This window comes from Homo sapiens, chromosome 6, assembly GCF_000001405.40.
Source record: "Homo sapiens chromosome 6, GRCh38.p14 Primary Assembly".
Classification (NCBI taxonomy): domain Eukaryota; kingdom Metazoa; phylum Chordata; class Mammalia; order Primates; family Hominidae; genus Homo; species Homo sapiens.
The window spans coordinates 46,615,316-46,638,075 of NC_000006.12; the positions used below are offsets into that span (position 1 = coordinate 46,615,316).

Genomic DNA, 22,760 nt, shown 5'->3' on the forward strand with positions numbered 1-22,760 from the left:
CATAACATATATTTATATATGCACATGTCTGTGTGTATATATACAAATACACTCCTTGTCTATTCCCAGGCTAGTGACCCCTCGCTTAAAGACTCTATAAAAGCAGACTAAGTACAATGATATCTCCCCACCTTTCTCATGATACTTCAAACTTGTCTAATGACAGTTTTTTAAAACAGTGCAATAATTAACTAGAACACCTGTGTACTGGTGTCATATTTTCTGAATGGTAGTCATATTTTCTGAATCAAAACCAAATGCTCATCCTCTTTTTTTTATTTAAAAATCCACGCATTGAGAGTTGAATCAAATTTTGCTTTGAATAATGTGACAAAGAAAGAAAAGCTTTTTCCTGAATCTCTTCTTCCAACCTAATATTAACCATTTTTTAGAAATGTGCTCACATTCTCCTCTGGAATAAAAAAAAAAAAGGACAAACATCTTCCAACAGAAATGCCATCATGATGGTGATCTCAAAGAGTTTTGTGAGCCCACAGTGAGGCCACATCTGCTGTCTCTGACCCCAATCAGCTCTTCCTCTAGATATCTGCTTGTCTAACTCTTAACATCTTAAAGTCCTTGCTCAAATCTCACTTTGCCAATTAGGGCTTACACTGATTCTATTTAATACTATAATACCACCTTCCCCCATCCCTGACATTCCTGATTTTCTCTAGCCTTTCCCTCCCTCCCCCCTCCCTCCCCCTCCCTCCCTCCTTTCCTCCTCTTTCTTTTCTTTTCTTTTCTCTCTCTTTCCCTCCCTCCATCCCTCCCTCCCTTCTTTCCTTTCTTTCTTTCTCTTTCTTTTCTTTCTTTCTTTCTTTCTTTCTTTCTTTCTTTCTTTCTTTTTTCTTTCTTTCTTTCTTTCTTTCTTCTTTCCCTCCCTCCCTCCCTCCCTCCCTCCCTCCCTCCCTCCCTCCCTCCCTCCCTTCCTTCCTTCCTTTCTTCCTTCCTTCCTTCCTTCCTTCATCTTGCTCTGTTGCCCAGCCTGGAGTGCAATGGAGCAAACTTAGCTCACTGCAACTTTGAATTCCTGGACTCAGGTCAATCCTCCCACCTCAGCCTCCTGAGTAGCTAGAACCACAGGTGCATGGCACCATGCCCAGCTAACAATTTTTTTAAGAGATGGAGCCTCATTATATTACCCAGGATGGTCTTGAATGCATCAAGCAATCCCAAAGCTCTGGAATTATAGGCATGAGCCATCATGCCCACCCATTTATCACCTTTTAATATTTTTACTTTTAGAGTTTACTTATGTATTACATTTATTGTTAATTGTCTGTATCCTCTACAAGAATGTAAGCACCAAGAAAAAAGTAATATTTACTTTGTTCATATTTCCAAGTTCCTAAAGCAGTCCCTGTCATATAACGGGAGTGCAACAAATATTTGCTGAATTAATAAATGAATGGGTGTGGCTGGGGTAAAATAAACAAGGATGAAAGGGCAGAGATGAGGTCGTTGAGTTAGACAGGAATCAGATGACAAAGAGTCTCTGAGGCCATTTGAAGGCTTTAGATTTCATTCTGAGTGAGATGTGAGGTCACTGGATGTGTGCACTGAATACCACAATCTGACAGAGAGAGAGAAAAGAGCCAGTGGAGAAAGAGAAGTTGAACCCACCAAGAGATTGGCGATCGATCAATGGAACAAAATCTTAGAGGTAATTAGGGGGGTTGGGATCTACATGTCCAGGTGGCCTTGGTCAGAAGAAGGTATAGGTATGCAACAAGTAAAGATGATTGTCTACATAAACTACAGACCATCGCTCTGGTTAAAGTGCCCTGGTTAAGTGGCCCTTAATTTCTTTGGGTAATTCTATTGTCTTGGCAGACACATCATATTGTTTTGGAAAACAACTGGGTTATAAATATGGTAGTCATATTTTTTGAATCAAAAATGAGGTGAATGGCTTAGAAAATGTTTTTCTCTAATCTATAAGTTTACTTATATGTAAAGTTTTATAACTATATTAGAATTAAATCATATTCAGTGTTATAAATGTTAATACATAGCAGAAACAAAATGCAGAGTGTTTTTAGTGGGTATTCCAAAGTCTACCTTGGTTAGATTGTGATTCTGCATGCAAAAGTGGGTCAAACCTACCATCATGGCCACAGGTATCAGGCTCAGGGGTATGAATGTTACTCCAGGAACATTTTCTGAGTATACATATAGCATACCTCCAGAGCTATGCTTTAGGAAGATTAAAGTGGAAGCAACTTGGAACAGAATAAAGCTGGAAATTGGATTGAAGCATCATAATTCAGGGATTCTAAGTACAATTTTGAAACAAGGAGATTTGCTGATTTGTATTGTCAACTTTCATGCCAAACAAACTAGGCTCAACTCACACCCCTACCACTTGCTAGCTGTATGGTCTTAGGTAAGTTATCTAATTGGGATTTCACATTCCTCGTGCATAAAATAGGGCAAACAATAATGTTTAGGAAGGATGATCCAAGGATTAAATAAGCCAACAAGGAAAGCACTTAAAATAGGGCCTGCTACTTAATTAGCGCTGACTATTAACTATTACTGTTTCTACTACTCCTATCTTGTAGGGCAATATTAGACATAAATAGTCTCATGCTATATTTCTGCTGCATTTTGACACCACCAAAAGTACAGCCAATTCATATGAAAGTAATTCATTTCTGACTATAAACATTCAACAAAACTATCTTATTTCAAAAAACAACACTGACTAATATTTGGAAGTAGAAAAACTCAAAGTTACAACAGTTACTAATTTCATGATGTGGGAGGATTATAAAATTTCATATAACTGATATAGTTGTATCAGTTTTGGCCATAGCTAAGACTTACAAAGCAATTACGATTTGCCAGGTACTACGCTATCTATCTAATTTACATGTGTTATATCCTTCTAATAACTTCACGAGATGAGGATTATTATTAACCATCTTCCCAAAGAGGAAAAAGGCTTAAAGAACTTGATAACTTGAGTAAAGATACACCATTAATAAGTGTCTCCACCTGGATTTCAACTCAGGCAGTCTGACCCTAGTGTCCACACTACATTATGAGGTTATGACAGGCAATTGAAATAATGTGTAGTAACTTATCAATTAAAATTTAAAACAAAAAGACTAATTTCTAGGAATTATACCCCAAAATTTGATAACAAAGCAAAAATATTCTTTATCAGATCATCAATGATTTGGTAATATATGTTTCACCCAAAATTAAGGAACAAAATAAAACCATAGGCAAAAAAAATGCTTTACAGAGATCAAAAACCTAGAGAAAAGTTAACATTATTTACCATTCATACGGATTACTGGGCTTGAAATTACTCAGTGTCTCAAAGTACTGATAAGATATTGGCTGGGACTAGGTGTATTACGTATTTTTTTTTAATTTTCTGTATATAATGATTTGTGTGGGTGTGTAAATTTTTTTAAAATAATATTTCTTAAATGTATAACATCTTTAAAAGAAACAGAAAACCTTCCTGGCTGGGGAGAGATTGCTCCTCTCCCTCTCGGGGCAAGCTAGTTCTTCCAGTTGGCACAGAACTCAGCCTGGAGCATACCTTTGACATGCAAATCAACCAATCTAGAACTACACCCTTCTATCTGGCCCAGATAACCCAAGAAGCAATATTCCTCTGCCTTAATCATCTCAGGGCCAGATATCAGGCCACTAGAAACCACTCTACAGTTTAGAGCCCCTGGGGATTATTCAAACTAGCTAATGCTAAACTGTTGACTTGTCCCTTCTCTGCCTTTCCTGTGGAAATCCTAATAAAGGATCTAGCTCCTTTTGTGGCTCCCAACTGACTGACCATCATACAATAGGGTTCTGCTAACTCAAAATTCAGTGCAGAAAACTGTCAAAAAGTCTTTATATAAAACATTCGTTTCATATAAAATGTCAAATGGGATGGTTGATAGAGCTGCAAACAGAGGCTAGACCAAGATACTTATCTCTTAAAACTAGCCATATATTCTTACATTTGTTCATTAAACTCATTCAGTAAATAGTTGTTGAATAATTTTTAAGTTCTAGGCAGCTAGGTACTACAAAGACCAACTATGTTTAGTTTCTGTTGTTGGAGACGTTGCATTTTGGTGGGGTAAATACATAAATACACAAATAAAAAATATTTTTAAAAGTTAGTGATTCTCTAACTTGTCTTACTTTTAAGGAAATATAGAGTAAGACAAGTCAGAGAATCACCAAGGGCAGAGTTGGGGAAAGTGACTTTAGATGGGGTAAGACTAAAATATCTATCTGAAGAGGAGACATTCAAGCTGACTGAAAGATTAGTAAGAGAAAGAGTTCCAGGCACAGGAATCTTACTGAATTTACCAGTAGGTACATGTCTCCAAAGAAACAATGTAAATATTCCTTTTTCTCTCCTAATATCTTCTGGATACTTCCAAACCTGTCTTCAATTTTTATAAAAAGCACTTAGTTCATAAGTTTCTGCAAGAACATGGACTGTTACTTTACTCATCTTCATAGCTCTGGTACTTCACACAATGCCTTCACATGGTGAGCACTCAAAAAATAAGTTTGAGGGCCAAGTAAAATAATGGATGAATTAAGGGTTAATCCACATAAGCCTGGGAGGTTTTCCAAAGAAATTTTAAAACTTATATTTCAGGGTGATGTCAGTAAAAATAGCAGAGCAAGGATCTCCTAAAGTTCCCTCCTTAAAAGCAATAAGAAATTTGGTAAAAATTCTAAGTATCAAGTTTTTAGAATTCTACAGATTAACCAAAGTTTTGCAGCAATTCAAGAATGTCTATTCAAGAAAAAAACAGTTGAATCTTGATAAGAACATCAAGCTTAACATCATTTTAACCTGCCCTATTCTCAAACCCCTCTTTATATCTCCATAGAAGCCTTAAAAGCCAGAAGTCTGCATTCACAGTGAAAATCAACAACCCACAGTCACTAGATAGGGCACAACAAGGTTGGAACTTCTTCTAAACCTCAGTACTACAGTATTCTCATTATGCGACAAGTTTGGCAGTTTCCTAGAAGACCTTACTTGCAAGACTGTCTTTATTTGACATGACTTGGAGCTCACTCAGTATGAAAAGCCTTTCCTCCAGGGGTGTTGGTTTAAAATATTTAAAGACAACTGTTTAACTTTGCAACTATCTGAGTCAGTAGGTAACTGTTGGACAAACAACAGGCAAACCAACAAGATGAAAATGAAAGGCTAGGGAATGAGTTGTTCATAGTGGCTTTGCAGAGGTCTAATGAATTCCCAGGAATTTAGAAGGGCATCCATTTGCCCAGGGCTTTACTCATGTTCAGGAAAGACATGAGAAGGCCACAAGCTGTCATGTACACCCATCCTTGAGGCTCTGGCACAGGTAGAAAGCGAAAGCTAAGGCAGAGTTGTCAACTGCTTGGCTGAGTGTTGAAGGCATGGCCAACATGCACACACAGTCCCTTAGCAAAGAATGGGGACTTCTAAATTACTGAGGTAAAGAAATATCTGTCTAGTTAATACCTGATCACTAAATAATGGAGCAGAGACTTCTGTGGCCACCCATGACAAAGAATGCAAACATTACAGAATTAGTTAAGGAAAATAACTAAACAATCAAACAAACAACAAGAACAATAAACAGCAACAACAACAAACCCTGAGGAAAGGGAAGAATCTAATTTCCAAAGTTGTTACATTCTATTATTTAAAATGTCCAGTTTTCAACAAAGAATTATAAGGCATATAATAAGAAACATGAAATAAGACATGAAATAAGAAAATACAGTGTTGAATGTGTATCACTTTCACACAATCATAAAGTTAAAAAATCAAGAGTTGAACCACTATAAGTAGAAGACTGTCTGAATAGATTATTCACAGAGGAAAAAAAGGAATCAACAGAAAGCGTCCCTGAAGAAACTGTTGCTGGACTTAATAAAGATTTTAAATCAGATATTTTCATTATGTTCAAAGAACTAAGGAAATCTTTTCTAAAGAACTAAATAGAGAAATTGTAAAGATTAGAACAAAATTAAATTAAATACAAAAATCACTAGGAAAAATAAAATCAAGTTAAAATAAACAAAATTAAAAAGTGAGTTCTTTGAAAACAAAATTGACAAATATGTAGCTACAATGACCCAGAAGGTAAAACAGGACCCAAACTAAAATCAGGAATGAAATATTTGGTTTTCCAGTGCCCTTACAGAAATAAAATGGATTGTGTGGAACACTATGAAAAATTTTATACCAACAAATTAGATAATCTAGATGAAATGGACATAGTCCTAAAAAGACATAAAGTATAAAACTGACTCAAGAAGAAATAGATAATCTAAATAGACCAGTAACAAGTAGAAAGACTGAATTAATCAAAAAACTTCTCAAAAAGAAAATCTTAGGACCAGATCACTTCATTGGTGAATTCTACCATATGTTTAAAGAAGAAATAATATCAATCTTTCATAACCTCTTTCAAAAATTAGAAGAGGAAGAAATACACTCTCTAAAGCCAGAATTATCTTGATACCAAAACCAGACAAAGTTATTTTAAGAAAAGAAAATTATAAGTCAATATTCCTTATTAACATAGATTCTTCAAAAAAAATACTTCAAAAAATACTAGCAAACTGAATCTAGCAACATATAAAGAAAATTATACATGAGGATTAAGCAGGATTTATTCCAGAAATGCATGGATGCTTCAAGACCTGAAAATCAATTAATGTAAAACATTATAATATAAAACTGTACACTAGACGAAAGGAGCCAGACACAAAGGACCACATATCATATGTTTCCATTTATATGGACTGTCCACAAAAGGCAAATGTGTCAGGACAATAAGTAAATTAATGGTCGTCAGAAGCTAGAAATAGAAGGAAACAGAAAGTGACTCCTAATGGGTATGGGATTTATTTTGAAGGTGATAAAAATGTTCTGGGACTAGACAGTGTTGATGGTTGCAATCTTATAAATATACTAAAAACTACTACATTTCACACTTTGAAAGGATAAATTTTATGGTATGTTAATTATCTATGATTATATATATATAATTTTATTTATAAGTTGATGCATGTTACATGCACACAAACTTATAGCTCAAGATGACAACCTGAGAACGCACTTCTACCTTCCTCTGCCCCAATGTCCCATTAAAAAAAATGAAGCCCAATATGCTGGCACACACTTGTGGTCCTAGCTACTCAGGAGGCTGTGGCAGGAGGATCACTTGAGCCCAGGAGCTCGAGGCTGTAGTGAGCTATGATCATTCCACTGTACTCCAGGTGACAAAGTGAGACCCTGTTGCTAAAAAGTAAATTAAAAAGTGTGCAATTAAAAAATAAAAACACAGCTGTAAAACAAGAAAAGGAAGAAGCAGATAATGAAGACTTAGGAAGATAATAAAGACTTAGATAATAAAGACTTAGATAGAAGGTGTACAGGATTAGTTAGAGGAAGTAGAATAATGAAAAGCACCACCCAAAATAATTGGGGCTAAGCAAGCATCTTCACAAAGGAGCCCCAAAAAGCTTTCATTTTAAAGTAAACAAATAGAGAACACAAGAGTAGGCTGAAAGGCAGCTATCAAGATAGTTCAAGAACTAACTGCCTTTAGAAAAGTGGTATGAGTCTGACCCTTTCCTTTCGCAAGTATTCAATAGTAGTTTTTACCCTGAGATTTGTTTTATAAGAAAGTTGGGCAAAGTGCCTAGAAGTGAGTGTTGAAGCCACAGAGATACAGCATTGGAAATTCATAAAAGACTTTCCCAAGAAGGAAATGGTGATCTTGCGGGAGACAAGAGCATAGAACAGAAAAACTGCTGTGCTGAGTCAGATTCCTGTTCCATGCCTGTGATGATAATTTGTACATGTAACTTGACTGGATCGGGGGTGCCCAGATATTTGACTAAACATTATTTCTGGGTGTGTCTGTGAGGGTATTACTAGTTGATATTAGCATTTCAATCAGTAGACTGAGTAGGGCAGACTGCCCTCCTATATGTGGGTGGGTAAATTTACTCAGGGTTCTCCAGAGAAACAAAACTCAACAGATTAGATGATGCCTAGATGATGGTTAATTCTATATGTTAACTTGACTGGCCATGGGGTATTCAGTTTAACCATTATTCTGGGTGTGTCTGTGAGGGTGTTTCTGGATGACAGATGAGTATTTGAATTCGTGGGCTCAGTAAAGTAGGCTTCCCTCCCTAATGTAAGTGTGCACCATCCAATCCACTGAGAGCCTGCATCAACAGCACATCATGGGACTCCTCAGCCTCCATAGTCAGGTCAGCCAATTTTTTATAATAAATGTCTTTTGAGTTTTCTCTCTCTCTTTATCTATGTATCTATTTACATCCTAATTGGTTCCATTTCTCTGGAGAATCCTGACTAATCGAATGTACTTAAATGTTCCTTCCTTGACAGAATCCTTTGTATGGACACATGGATATCTTCCTTGATATCAGCTTCCAAAGATCTGTGGACTCCTCTCACAACATTTAAATTCCTGAGCTGCTACTAGATCTTATGTATGGATTATTGAATAGCTTCTGTATAAGTATGGTTAAAAAAAAAGTTTGATGTCTTTCATAAATAGTTTTCAATTCTGCAGTAGTGTCTTATAGACTGAAAGCATCCATATAATGTAGCTGTTGCAGTGGTAGTACTATTCGAAGGAGCATTTTTTGTGTCAGAAGAGAACAATGGGTTTTAAAAATAAACAATAACATAGAAAAAGCAAAAAGGTTTTAATCTTTCTCCACTAGAACTGGGTTCAAGAGTTCTAGAATCAAGCCTTGTAGAAATTTAGATTAATGTTACACTTCTGTTGTGGCCTTTGGGTCAGAGAGGACCCCCCACGTTATCCCCATCATCCCCTCTCTACTCTTTTATTTCCTAAAGCCACAAATTTGGAGTACCCTAAGTCAGGAAAAGACTCTAGTAAGGAAATGATAAAGGAGAATATGTGACAATCAAGAGTGCATTGCCTTTTTCCATTTGTAGACATGTGGGCATGTGCCTTTCTATTTGTTTTGTAGATGCAAGCTGCACAAAGGCCAGTTGTCTTCTCTTATATTCACCAGTGTCTTTCCAGAATCTAACCTGTTAGCATTGTTGGCATTCAATGATAATGATGCTCACCATTTCTATAAGGTCCAGCATCTGCTGACGCATACTCAAGGCTCAGACAATATTACTTAGATATTCATGGTTGCCAAGCCAGTTTACTTTTTGGTTTAACTCCATAAGAAGCAATCCAAAAAAAAAAACTTTAAATAAAATATTTTCAGTAATCATGGAAGGGAGAGGGAAAACCATTAACTGGCATCATACCTTTTGCCCTAATATTATATTGTTTTCTTCCAAGAAAACCCTATCATTTCTTATTCTTTTTATATCAGGATACATAATACGACATATTAAGAAGTTTAAAAAAGTCAACTCCCCAGATTGGTCAAATTATGCTGAATAAACAAGTAGTTGAGTACTCTCTATTCAAGCTTGTATTTGCTTTTTAAAAGAGATGATAAATAAACAGCTGACATCTGAACTAAAGAGTTCAAGGCAACAATCCCTATTTGCAGCTCCTAAATCCTCAAATTTCTAACAACCATAAGGGTTTTTTTATTTCTTTTTGTTTACTTGTTTTTTGTTTGTTGTCTTTTAATAATCCTTTGGTAGCAAGCCTTACCTGACCTCTACAGTCCTATTAGGGCTCTTATGTAATATATGGAATATACCCTTATTACTTTTATAAAATCTGAAAAATCCTGAACTTGAAAACTGTGGACATTCATTCAATTGAGGTGAGGATCCAAGACATTAGAAGAACAAACAGGTGTATATATATTTAAGTAAGGAAATTAGGCAAATCACAATCTCTATAGCACTGATTTCATCATTTGGAAAATGAAGGAGTTGCACAAAAATATGCTTGACAGTAATTAAACTCTAGGATTCTACCTGATCAATTTATATCCTGATATATAACAAATTATGTTGAATTTTGGATTATGTTGAATTTTTATAAAATTATAGGTATTTAGCTTTGCCAATAATGTGTGACAAACATGCATTATTAGCTGTGTCTTCCTATATAATAAGGTTTAGTACCTGCTTTGCCAAACACAGAAGATATGCCTTCCATAATGGCCTTGTGGATATCAGGATGAGAAAGGACGTATGCAAGTGTCCAAAATGCAACCTTAAAAAGAAAAACATATATCAAAAATATGAACTTCTTTGAAGGTGAACAAAAGCATATTTAGTATTAGCCATACATATATTTTTTAAAAAGGATGATGTTTAAATTAACCTTAAGAGCACATTAGTAGAAAGCATATTTTGAAAACAACTAGATATTATTAATAAGAGATATGTAATATATCTCCAAGAAGCCAGATTTAAATTTTTATTTTGTCACTATAATTTAACTATATAATTTAAATAGATTAAACATCTATCTTCACTAAAAATGAGAAAAGTTGTTATTTTTACTAATGAGTAACACAAAATATTATATAGGCATATATTAAATTTTCAGAAGCAACTAGTTATGACACTTAAGAATATTAATCCAAAACAAAAACATTTCTTAAGATTTAATTTCCTTAGAATACAAGTGAATTAGCACATTTTATATTCTGCAACTGAAACACAGTAGTTTTAAATAAGCCCAGGAAAATGCAGCAGGAAACCATCCCGTAAACTAAATTATGAGAGTACTCAATGTCAAAAACAAAGTCCTTTTTTTTGGCTTTTTTTGGCTCTGAATTAGTAAATAAAAGAAAAAAAATTTTTGAGTCCTTTCACACTTGAATGCTATTGAATATAGTATATTTGCACATTTTCTCTCTTGGCCACTCAAACTTATTTCATATCTTTCCTCGTTGTGGTATTACAAGATAAAATCATACTGCTTTACATCTTAAAAATTAACTTCCTCCTCAGGTAAATAGTTTTGCTTCTATTCTTAGGTTACGTAATAAAGAAAACCTGTATAAAATCATCCAAAGAAGTGTGGGTTTCACTTTCATTTTTTTCTAAATACATTTATTATGAAAGAGATTTCATCTAGGAGAATTGGTCCTGAAATGATTCATGCAATATTTTGACTAAATTTAGTCTGTCTCTTTTGTGAGGTAACATTATGTACCTTTAAATAATACCAATACTCCCCTCTGTGGTCAAAAGAGGAAGAGCAATTGTCCGAAAAGAAGTGCTCAAATAAGCCAAATTCAATACTGTTCATTATTTTTCCCTTTCTAACTTTAAATTGATAGTGCAAGGATAAATATGGTACTGTTTACATAAACGATGTGAATAGGGGAACCAAGGGTCCTCAATTTAGAGGCTTTCTTTCAGGAGTGTTATCCAGATTAAGAAAGATTTATCCTAGAGATTTTCTAGTTCATTTTTACAGATGATGAAACAGATGCTCAGAGAACTATCTTGTCCTGTCTCTACTCAGGCCCCCTTTCTACTATTAACTACAGATAAAAGTGCTAAATTACTGAATTCAATTAATAACTACTCCATACTCACTTCATCTTACTTGAAGAGTCAGAGTTCATGTTGGGGAAAAAAATAGTGATAAGACATAATGTATTAGTCTGTTTTCACACTTCTTTATAAAGAATTCCCTGAGACTGGGTAATTTATAAACAAAAGAGGTTCAACTGACTCACAGTTCTGCATGGGTGGGGAGGCCTCAGGAAACTTACAATCATGGCAGAAGGCAAATGGGAAGCAAGGCACATCTTACACGGTGGCAGAAGAAGGGGGTGGGGAAAATGGCCAAACACTTTTAAAGCATCAGATATTATGAGAACTCACTCACTATCACAAGGACAGCCTGGGGAAAACTGTCCCCATTATCCAATCACCTCCCACCAGGTCCCTCCCTTTACATGTGGGGATTACAATTCAAGATGAGATGCGGGTGGGTACACAGAGCCAAGCCATATTACTTAGATTTTCAGTTACGCAAAACGGATGTTCATAGTTGTATGTGCCTAAATATAGCTTTAGAGATTCAATAAAATTGGATACTACTTTTTAAATGACAAACATAAGCAATTTAGCTAAACTACAAATGGCTGTTACTTTTATTTATTTATTTTTTTTTTTTTTGAGACAGAGTCTCGCTCTGTTGCCTAGGCTGGAGTGCAGTGGCGCAATCTCGGCTCACTGCAAGCTCCGCCTCCTGGGTTCACACCATTCTTCTGCCTCAGCCTTCCGAGTAGCTGGGACTACAAACACCTGCCACCACGCATGGCTAATTTTTTGTATTTTTAGTAGAGACAGGGTTTCACCGTGTTAGCTAGGATGATCTCGATCTCCTGACCTTGTGATCCGCCCGCCTCAGCCTCCCGAAGTGCTGGTATTACAGGCGTGAGCCACTTTTTTTTAATGTCTCCTTTTTCCTTAACAGATTACAGTTTTTAAAATTTTTTCTATTTTTAAAAAAGCCAAAGTATTTTTAAAAGATAAAAAGGCATATAAAATAGTTAATAAAAGTTTATATGTATTACTACATCAATAAGCAAGAATAAGTGACTTTGAGGTCTTTGTGCACCCACATTTGGGAAAGGGGTTGAAAACTGCTCCCAACAGTACCAATTAGTATTTTGTAAAACAGTTCAAGTCCAAGGTCAGAGATGGGCAAGAAGAAGAAGGGCCACTCAGCTCACTGAACTGCAGAAGCAGCCACCATAATGTCATTCCATTGTTTTGGAGAGGTAAGAACAAATGAGAGAAAGGGCAAGGAGGAAAACTCTGTATCTTTGCTGTGTCAAAGAGAAGATGAATTGAGTGTGTTCTTTGGTACTGATTTATCTATTCAAAAAGAGATTTTGATGGAGTCTTCATACCATGCCAGAGAGTCTTCTACCGATCATGGTAAACACAAATATGTTGGGAGATAATTCCTGTCCAAAGTATTTTCACATTTAGTTGGGCATATGAATACATATTGGAGAAAAATGAACGAAATGTACAAGACAGTGAGAGAGCAAACACATGTTACAAAAAATAAATACTGTGGGAGTTGAGAGTGGGATGGGGTAGCAATTGCTACTGAAAGTATTTAGAAAGAATGTAAGAGATGCAGCAGATAAAAAAGGTAAAATGTCAGCTTTGTGATTGGTTTGGAGAAATCTTCTAAAAAAATCATTTGGCAGTCAGAAATTTCTTGGAACTTAGAAATGGTTTTCCCATAAAAATAATTTCATAAATTATAGTTAATATCTTGGGCCACAATGGAGCCTCCTAGTGACCCAGTGCCTAACCCATCTGAAGCCTGAGCTCTGAGTCCTATGGGCCTTGAGGCAGAGTACAAAGTAGGAGAGAGGAGATATAGATATACTCTGGGCTCCAGGAAAAGACAGGCCCCACCACCTACACCTCTGGTAGGGCTTCTGGTATTCTCAGCAGCAATAAAGGTCACTAAAGCAGAATAGCAGTGGATATTCCCACTCTGGGGCCTTTGAGCCATCAAATATTTGGAAGCCTATGTTCAGTATTAACGGGCCATTGAAAATAATGATTGACTGAAACTAGGGAGATAATTTTTGTAAGGGAAGAAAACTAGCATTTATTGAAGACCTATGCTGAACCAGGTGCTATTAGCCACAATCTATTTCTTACCAAAATAATCCTTACAACAACCCTTTAAGGTAGGTATAGCATTAATCCCATTTTACAGATAAGGGCACTGAGGCTTGGGCAGGTTAAACAATTGGCCCACTGTTACCCAGTGCTGGCAATTGGCTTTGGATCTGACTCTAAAGCCTCTCCAGGATCTCTGCCTGCTCACCAGGCTGCCTCTTGGAGGTGCCAACAAGAGCCAGTGAGATGGAATATTCTCTAATCATCAGACACTTTCTTTCTGAAATGAATGATTTAAATCCTTTCAGACCAGCGCCAAGAACAAATTCCAAAGAACCGACTTCCCCTGTGTCAGATCAATGGGGCTTTGTGTGTCTTTCTTCCGGGGGATGTTTCTAACAAGATATTGAAAAATAATTCTTTGACAGGAGTGCCTGTTTTGTTGCTACTTTGAGAGTTGTTTTGATGTTTGTTTCTCAATTTTGCTATAGCTTAATCAGTTTCCAAGAATATTATTTAAGGAAAAACCAGAGAAGAATATTATAGGTACATAAAGAAGGGGAAGGGTTTAGACTACTTTTACTTGACCATATCAGATGAAATGTATATTCCACTGGCTAACATACCTTTGAGAAAAGAGGCCAGAATTTCTATCCCTTCTCTTTATGCAGTAAATTTTTCAACAAGTTAAGGGAAACTAGAATATCATGACTGAGAAAGCCTTTAACAACCTAGGCCTTTATAAAAGTAAGGCTAAATAAATAATACTTAAAACATCTTCCTAATTTCTATCTGTTAGAAGAAAAAGGAAGAAAAATGCCCACACATATCATCATGGATAGGTTAAATCCTCCTGTTTAGTAGAAAACAAGTATATTTAAAAAGTTACCCTTTAATTTCAGATAATATAAGTAGCATCTTAGGCTAATGTGAGAACCTCCTGGCCCAGGAAACTGTTGGCACTGAACATGACGTGACAGACAAATCTCATGGCTCTAATCTAATGCAAGACAGATTTTAAAAGAAACAGTTTTTTAGCCGGGCCCAGTAGCTCACGCATGTAATCCCAGCTGCTCAGGAGGCTGAGGCAGGGGAATCGCTTGAACCCGGGAAGCAGAGGTTGCAGTGAGCCGAGATCACGCCATTGCACTCCAGCCTGGGTGATAGAATGAGACACCATCTCAAAAAAACAAAACAAAACAAAACAACAACAACAACAAAAAAACCCACAAAAAACAGTTTTTTAAGTCTTGCCTCTCTTTAGAAGTGTTGAAAGTTCCAATTTCACCAGCACCATTCATGCGGAAGCTTGTAGGACCATAATGCTAAGCAATGCAAACAGGAATGGCACACAGAAGGAGAATGGGTACAAATGGAGAGAAAGAGCTAATATTCATTGATACCAGCTAGGCTTATCTTATTAAATCCTCATAACAACTTTGTAGAGAAATGAGAATTACCATTTATTGAGCACCCAAGTTCTAAGACCACAGTGGGAGGTTCACATACATTATCCCTTTTTTTACCCTTATTAGGTAAAATAGTACATTATCTCTTATTAGGAAATGGAGGCACAGAAAATTTAAATTACCACCATGACAGTCTACAACTACAAATTGGGATGTCTGGATCCAAGCCCAAGTTACCTGAAACTATCCATTTACTTACTCTTTCCAATAAAAGCATGTGGCCAATCCCTATTCATCTTTTCAATACCAATACTGAGCACATTGGTAGACATACAAAAAGTGTTCCATAAACAGATGTTGTCTACAACTGGCCCCAAAGGGCAAGCTTTTCCCTCATCCTGTTACACACTGCCTTTCAGAGGACAGAATTTGCTTGAGATCTGTTTCGTCTCCTTTGTAACCTAATCAGATTTCATTAGGCATTCAGTTTTGGTTTTTATCTCACAACCAAATCCACTGTAGTTTTTTTCTTTTCCATAATGAGTGATGAGTGGAAAAAAGAATGGAAGACAGAAATGAAGGAAAAAAAGATGAAAGGACAGTGGAGAGCAACGTAACTCATACTTTACTAATATACTTACAGGAACAGCATTAGACAGAGAAGCCCAAAGCAGTAAGAGCCCATAATTGGGTGAGTTTTCCTTACTTGTTTCCGTCTCTACAATATCCAGCGTAGCTTGCAATAATGTCTGTTTAAAAGAAATAAACATTGCCAAACCATGGCTATGTGACAAATATCGATGTTAATAAACAAGAGATCATGCCTTTTTCTTTAATATGAAAGATATCATTTCTGCCATTCCCAGGTTTTGCAGTTTGAGGCATGTGAAGGGATTTATGTCCTTACTGTAGTATAGTAATTAGGAGTAGGGATTCTGGAGCTTGACCGCCTCACTGCATTTGTTCAAATCCTGGCTCAGCTATTTAAGAGCTGGATGACCTTGAACAAGCTACTTTAATCTCTCTGTGCCTCTGTGTCCTCATCCATAAAATGTTCATAATATGGTACCTACCTCGTAGGATTGTTGTGAGAATTAAATGAGTTAGTACCTAAAAAGTGCTTAAAATAAAACCTTTCAGAGGGTAAAATGCACTTTGGATCTCTACTTTACCAAACTGAATTGGCAAATTGTGTGTTATTATCTCTGCCCTCCACACTGCTCTGGAATCCCTGTCTTATAAACCTCTGCTCTTAGCAAAATGCAAGCAATAGAGAAACACACATCTCTGGTGCATTCAGGAGAAAACTACACCCCCATCCACCATACAGATTCTCAGCCCATTCACCATGGGAGACAGAACTGCCAAGCCAGAATATTACAAATACCACAATACTCTAAAACCATACAGAGAACGGACATTTGACTTGAACAGTGACAGCTCAGGGCAGGGCCCCATCCAAGGCTACCCATCTCAAGACATGTTGTTCTCAAGTCACCAAACAAATCCCACTAAAGTATTTTCTTCATCGGGCGGTTTCCCCAGATTTGTCTTTGCCAGTGACGGCTCTCCATCATGGGAAAAAATTCAGACACTGTAACATTTTCATTAAGTTACTCATCTACTTTTAATCTTAAATAACTTATGTCTAGGTGATAGAAATAATGGGAGCTAATATCAACTCACTGCTTGCTAAGGGCAAGTACTGTTTTAAGTGTATTGCAAGTATTTAACCCATTTCACTCCTCACTATAACTCCAAGATGCAGATACTACTATCTTTTTTTTTTATTTTTAAGAAAAGATGTTTACTTGAGAATAGAGCATGGCAATGGGAAAATGCATGCAATAGTAAACTATGTGCGTATTCAGAGAGTTAAAGGAAGACAACAATTTTTAAAGGAAAAAATGAGAAGGATTACATAATTGTTGTGCAATCATTATTCTTGTCTACAAAGATCAATAACAATATTGGACAGGCCAGGTGCTAGATAGGTGTTCCTGTAGAAGTATTATTGTGTAGGCTGTGATGGTCTTTGTGCAGGTTTGTGGTTTTTGTAGAGTTTTCTTTTCTTTCTTTTCTAAATCACACATTCAAGCATGAGAACCCTCTCTTCATGACCTTCCCTGGCTCTATTTGTCAGGTTTTTTTTTTTTCTTAGGTTCAGGGGTACAGTTCAGGTTTGTTCTATAGGTAAAATCGTGTCACAGGAGCTTGTTATAGATTATTTCATCACCCAGGTACTAAGCCTAATACACAATAATTGTTTTTATCTGTTCCTCTCCCCCCTCCCAATCTCTACCCTCAAATAGGGTCCAGTGTCTGTGGTTCCCCGCAGATACTATTATCTTCACCATTATGCATATGAGGAAACTGAAACACAATAAAGTTAGGGAATTTTGCCAGGGACATATAGCTTGAAGGTGGTTGAGTTAGGATCCCAACCCTGTGAGTCTAGCCCTGACTCCAGAGCCCATACTCTAAGCCACTATGCTATACTGGCCCCCTTAGAGACACAAATCACAACTCTCTTGTATTAGGGATTTGGAGAACTGCATTGTACCACAGCATAGTAGCTTTGATTCAGATACTATGACACAGAAAAAAAAAACTATTCAATCACTAGCCTATAAAATACATTATAAAATAGAGACTGATGCTATTATTTACTAAAGCATGTAATTTGTCAAGGGATTAACTACTCTAATCCCTAGCTTTCTGGATTTAACATCCTCAGTTTTCCTTGTATTAAAGTTGTGAAAATAAATAAGAAATTACTTGTGAAATATGTAACACTATGCTTGCCACAAGGTAAGCACCCCAAAAATGTTAGCTAATGTGTTATTACTGTTTTTGTGATAATGGATTAGCAGAATTGAAAATAGTTTAGATATGAATTTCATTTACTGCTTGTCTCTATTATACTTATAATGTAAGTTGTCACAGGACAAAGTTTATACCTCATGAAAATCCTATAGATATATTTCATTATTTTGATATTCTATGATACAATAATAATTTTAAATGAAAAACACTAGTTTAAGATATATCTAAAATAACATGGAAGAAATCACATTTTACATTAATGATGCAATAAAGCGTGTATATATTTTTTAAAAATGAAACTCAACTTCTACCCAGTCTTCTGCTTCACTAGGCCACTGAAATCTATTTATGCAGTTGAAGACAACAAAATCTTTTAAATTTCTTCTTAGCTCACACTTTTTTTTAATATTAATATAAAAACATTAGCTCGGCCAGGCACGGTGGCTCACGCCTGTAATCCCAGCAGTTCGGGAGGCCGAGGCAGGTGGGTCACGAGGTCAGAAGTTTGATACCAGCCTGACCAATATGGTGAAACCTCATCTCTACTAAAAATATAAAAAATAGCCGGGTGTGGTGGCATGTGCCTGTAGTCCCAGCTACTCGGGAGGCTGAAGCAGGAGAATTGCTTGAACCTGGGAGGCAGAGGTTGCAGTGAGCCGAGATCACACCACTGCACTCCAGCCTGGGTGACAGAGCAAGACTCCATCTCAAAAAAGAAAAAAAAATGCCACTGCCACACAAAACACACAAACACACAAGCTCAGTGTGAACACTGCTAGAGGAAAACAGAGACGCAATACATAAAAAAATAAAGTTAAACTGCTCATGGATGTTCAAGTTGAATTCTCTCCTAAAGTTTTAAACACTGGATTAGCTTCAGCAGAATTCAAACTTTGTTTTTATTCAAATAATGATATGGTTTGGCTACGAAGCCACCAAAATCTCATCTTGAATTCCCACATGTTGTGGTAGGGATCCAGTGGGAGGTAACCGAATCATGGGAGCAGGTCTTTCTAGTGCTGTTCTCGTGATGGTGAATAAGTCCCATGAGATCTGATGGTTTTACAAAGGGAAGTTTCCCCACACAAGCTCTCTCTCCTTTTGCCTGCCACCATCCATGTAAGATGTTACTTGATCCTCCTTGCCTTCCACCATGATTGTGAGGCCTCCCCAGCCATGTGGAACCATTAAACCTCTTTCTTTTGTAAATTGCCCAGTCTCGGGTATGTCTTTTTCACCAACATGAAAACGGACTAATACAAATAGGGAGTTAAGAGTACCTATGATTAAAAATACCTCATTTCTTCAGAGTAAGAAAAATAAATGCTATTCTAGAGGTATTGTTGGTAGGGAATTTTACTTTTTTTTTCTTTTTGCTTTTTTTTTTTTTTTGAGATGGAGTTTCACTCTGTCACCCAGGTTGGAGTGCAGTGGCGCAATCTCGGCGCACCATAACCTCCGCCTCCCAGGTTCAAGCAATTCTCCTGCCTCAGCCTCCTGAGTAGCTGGGATTACAGGCGCGCACCACCATGCCAGGCTAATTTTTGTATTTTTAGTAGAGATGAGGTTTCACCATGTTCGCCAGGCTGATCTCGAACTTCTGACCTTAGGTGATCCACCCACCTTGGCCTCCCAAAGTGCTGGGATTACAGGCGTGAGCCACAGCACCCAGCCTTAGCAGGGAATTTTAACTGGGAATTTAAAAACTCTGTTTGCTAGGCCCATAGATTACAGATCTATCTCGATACATCTTTTATATACATGTGCTTTTGCCCCTAAGTCCTGGAAAATAATGCAAAGAACATGTGTGTTTGTCTGGGTTGTTTACACAACAAAAATATTAGCTGAAACACAGTTTGTCAATGAAGGGCCTTCCAGTATGGCTTCCTATTCCCTTTATTCAGGAAGGAGATACCTAAACATTCACATAGTCCTTTTTCCTAAGGCCATCTTCCTTTCTAGTTTTAAGCAAAGCTGTTTGTGATAATATTTGCTATTTAACTAAAAACAAACAAAAACTTTTGATGCCATCTTTAAATATAAAAATGTTTGAAGAGTTTTTTTAAATGATGATAACAATGATAAGCTCCTATCCAGTCCTCTGTTCTCAGTGCTTTACAAAAATTAAATCATTTAATTCCCACAACTTTATGCGGTGAGGAAACTGAGGCCAAGAGACTAGGTACTGTGCCCAAGGTTACATAACCAGTGACTGGATTTGAGCCTAGACAGTCCAGACCAAATGAAACCCAGTCTCTGTGGGCAGACCCTGGCCTCAGACAGTTTTCAAAAGCTCCCAGAGTGATTCTAATGAGAGGCAGAGGTGAGAACCATTCATTAGCAAGCATCTGAACCAAAGGTAAGGCTTGTTAAAGCAGATTGTCTACCTCAGAGGTGTTTGTTTGTTTGTTTGTTTGTTTTTGAGACAGGATTTCGCTCTGTCATCCAGGCTGGAGTGCAGGGGCACAATCAGGGTTTGCTGCAGCTTTCACTTCCCCAGGCTCAAGTGTGATCCTCCCACCTCAGCCTCCTGAGTAGCCGGTACCACAGGTGTGTGCAACCATGCCTGGCTAATTTTTTATATATATAATTATTTGTAGAGACCAGGTCTTGCTATGTTGCCCAGGTTGGTCTCGAACTCCTGGGCTTAAGCAATTCTCCTGCGTCGGCCCCCCAAAGTGCTGGGATTACAGGCGTGAGCCACCATGCCTGGCCTACTGCAGAGTTTCTGACTGAGTCCCAGGTGATGCTGGTGCTGTCGGTTTATGGGCCACATTTGAAGAACCACAGATCTGGAATAACGCTTAGGGCACAGGTTCCTAGTGCCTGGCTTTTTAAATTATACTATTCTGCTTCCTTGCATCTGAAGAAACAACTAACGGTAGTGGCATCAACAACAAAGCCTATTTTGTAGAGCTTTGTTTTTCCTAATTTGCCATTAGTTTCACCTGTCGCTATTGACACAGCCAACTGTATGATAACACAGAAATCAATACGGAACATCGGAATTGTATTTTTTTGCTCGTTGTCTCTGGTTTTTTCTTATGTGGAATAGGATACCTCTTCTACATAGGTTGTTGTGATGATGTAACAGTGAAATAATGTATCTCAACATGTCCAGTACAGTGGTTGACACAAAAATGGTATCTAATCAATCTCATGTGTTTTAGCAAAATATATTTTAACAACAATAATTTATTACTATCTTTACATTAGCAAAAGAAAGGTAAGAAATACTTACCATGGAATTATCTTTTGCAGATTTACATGCTTTTATATCTGGAATGTTTTTCTCAAACAGTTCCAGGAACCACTTTTTGGATTTTGACCAGTTTCTACATGAGAAAAAATATATATAGAAATTAATTGGAAAGCACTTTAGGAATAACAGGTCACAGCATAAAAAAGGGATGTCTGTGGAATTAAAATTAGTTCTCCAAATTTATTCTTCATTTTCAGGTATAATTTCATGGAAGGTCTACCTTCGGAATGATTAGTCCACAAAGACAGCTGGGGAGGCAGAGCAACTACATTTTAGTGTCTTTTGTAAATAAAACTTTGGAGTCCTACTGGATTGGCACTGAATAAGAAGGCAGAACCCACACTTGCTTGGTCTGCCTTTACTGTGGCTGCTGTAAGTTGCAGGAGGATGAAAACCCAATGCACAGAACCAATCGCTGACTTAAGCCGGGAAAAACAAACTGGCTCTCATCTTCTAAATCTTGTCTGAACAGTCACCATTGTAGATGAATGGTCTACGTAGGCTATGGTCTGAATGTCTGTGTCTCTCCCAAATCTTTATATGTTGAAATCCTAACCCCCAAGGTGATGTCATTAGGAGGTGGGGGTCTTTGGATGGTAGCTATGTTCTGAGGCTACAGCCCTCATGAAAAGGAGTACTAACCTTATGAACAGGGTCTGAGGGAGTCTGTCTGCCCCTTTTACCACATGAGAATGCAGTGAAAAATTGGGAGTCTGCAACCCGGAAGGAGCCCTCACCAGAACATGACCATGCTGGCCCGCTCATTTCAGACCCCCAGCCTCCAGGGCAATGAGAAATAGCCCTCACCAGAACGTGACCATGCTGGCACCCTCATCTCAGGCCTCCAGCCTCCAGGGCGATGAGAAATAAATTTCTGTTGTTTATAAGCCTCCCAGTCTATGATACTTTGTTATAGCAACCCATATGGAGAAAGACATAGAGCCACTGCCAAGAAATTTCAAAATCATGCAGTTACTTTGCATGTGCCTCATTTTACAAACATTTGTCTGAACCAACTGTGAGAAATGCATTTAACCACGCCCATGTTTGCCTCAGAGAGAATGAGGAGCACAGTGTCTGATTCTGAGACTGCTCAGGTTGACGATTTAGCAGGAATCTTAACTGTAGCAATGAGTGCAATAATAAAAAGCTGTACATGGGATAAAAGACCTCAAAATAAATTCTTAATCCCATCGATCTCTTTCTCTCTTTTGTTTTTGTTCATCACAATAAGAAAAGCATCTCTCTTCCTTGGTCCTCCTTCAATTCACATACAGACACCAAAAACAAACAGGTCATAAGAAACGGCTTCTCTCCCACTTAAACTGCTGTTACATCTACTTAGAACAGAAAAATGAGAGGTGTTGAATTGCTGAGATAAGCTTGGTCAATGAATTAATTATAGGAAACAACTGTTACCTTAGAAGACACTCTGGCAACTGGGACCCATACTCAAAATCTTCATCATAAACTTGAAAATACTGATGGAACTCCTTGATTTTTTTCTTGTTTGTGGAAAACAAACTTTTATTAAAGAGCATATTCACTGTGACTGGATAAAGGAGATGTCTACAAAGACAGAAACACACAAAAAGTCAGACCCGAAGACCAAAGAAGAAAGGCAAAGGATACAAAGCAAGGCATTATTTCATAGCAATATATGGGG

General features: G+C 37.2%; 1 protein-coding gene across 11 annotated transcripts in view; it reads right to left on the bottom strand.

Annotated features, from left to right (window-relative positions):
• Nucleotides 1–22,760, bottom strand: part of CYP39A1 (cytochrome P450 family 39 subfamily A member 1) — a 103,239-nt gene that overhangs the window by 65,736 nt on the left and 14,743 nt on the right. For 8 of the 11 annotated variants that reach the window (NM_001278739.2, NM_001278738.2, NM_016593.5 and 5 more), the window contains 4 exons: nt 22,514–22,663; nt 21,074–21,167; nt 15,648–15,755; nt 10,103–10,193 (listed from right to left, as the gene is read on the bottom strand). In NM_001278739.2, the coding sequence (NP_001265668.1) occupies nt 10,103–10,193; nt 15,648–15,755; nt 21,074–21,167; nt 22,514–22,635 (415 nt within the window). In that variant the 5' untranslated portion in view covers nt 22,636–22,663. The remainder of the gene's footprint in view (nt 1–10,102; nt 10,194–15,647; nt 15,756–21,073; nt 21,168–22,513; nt 22,664–22,760) is intronic. The other 3 variants (XM_017010924.2, XM_017010923.2, XM_047418859.1) reach the window with 1 other exon arrangement.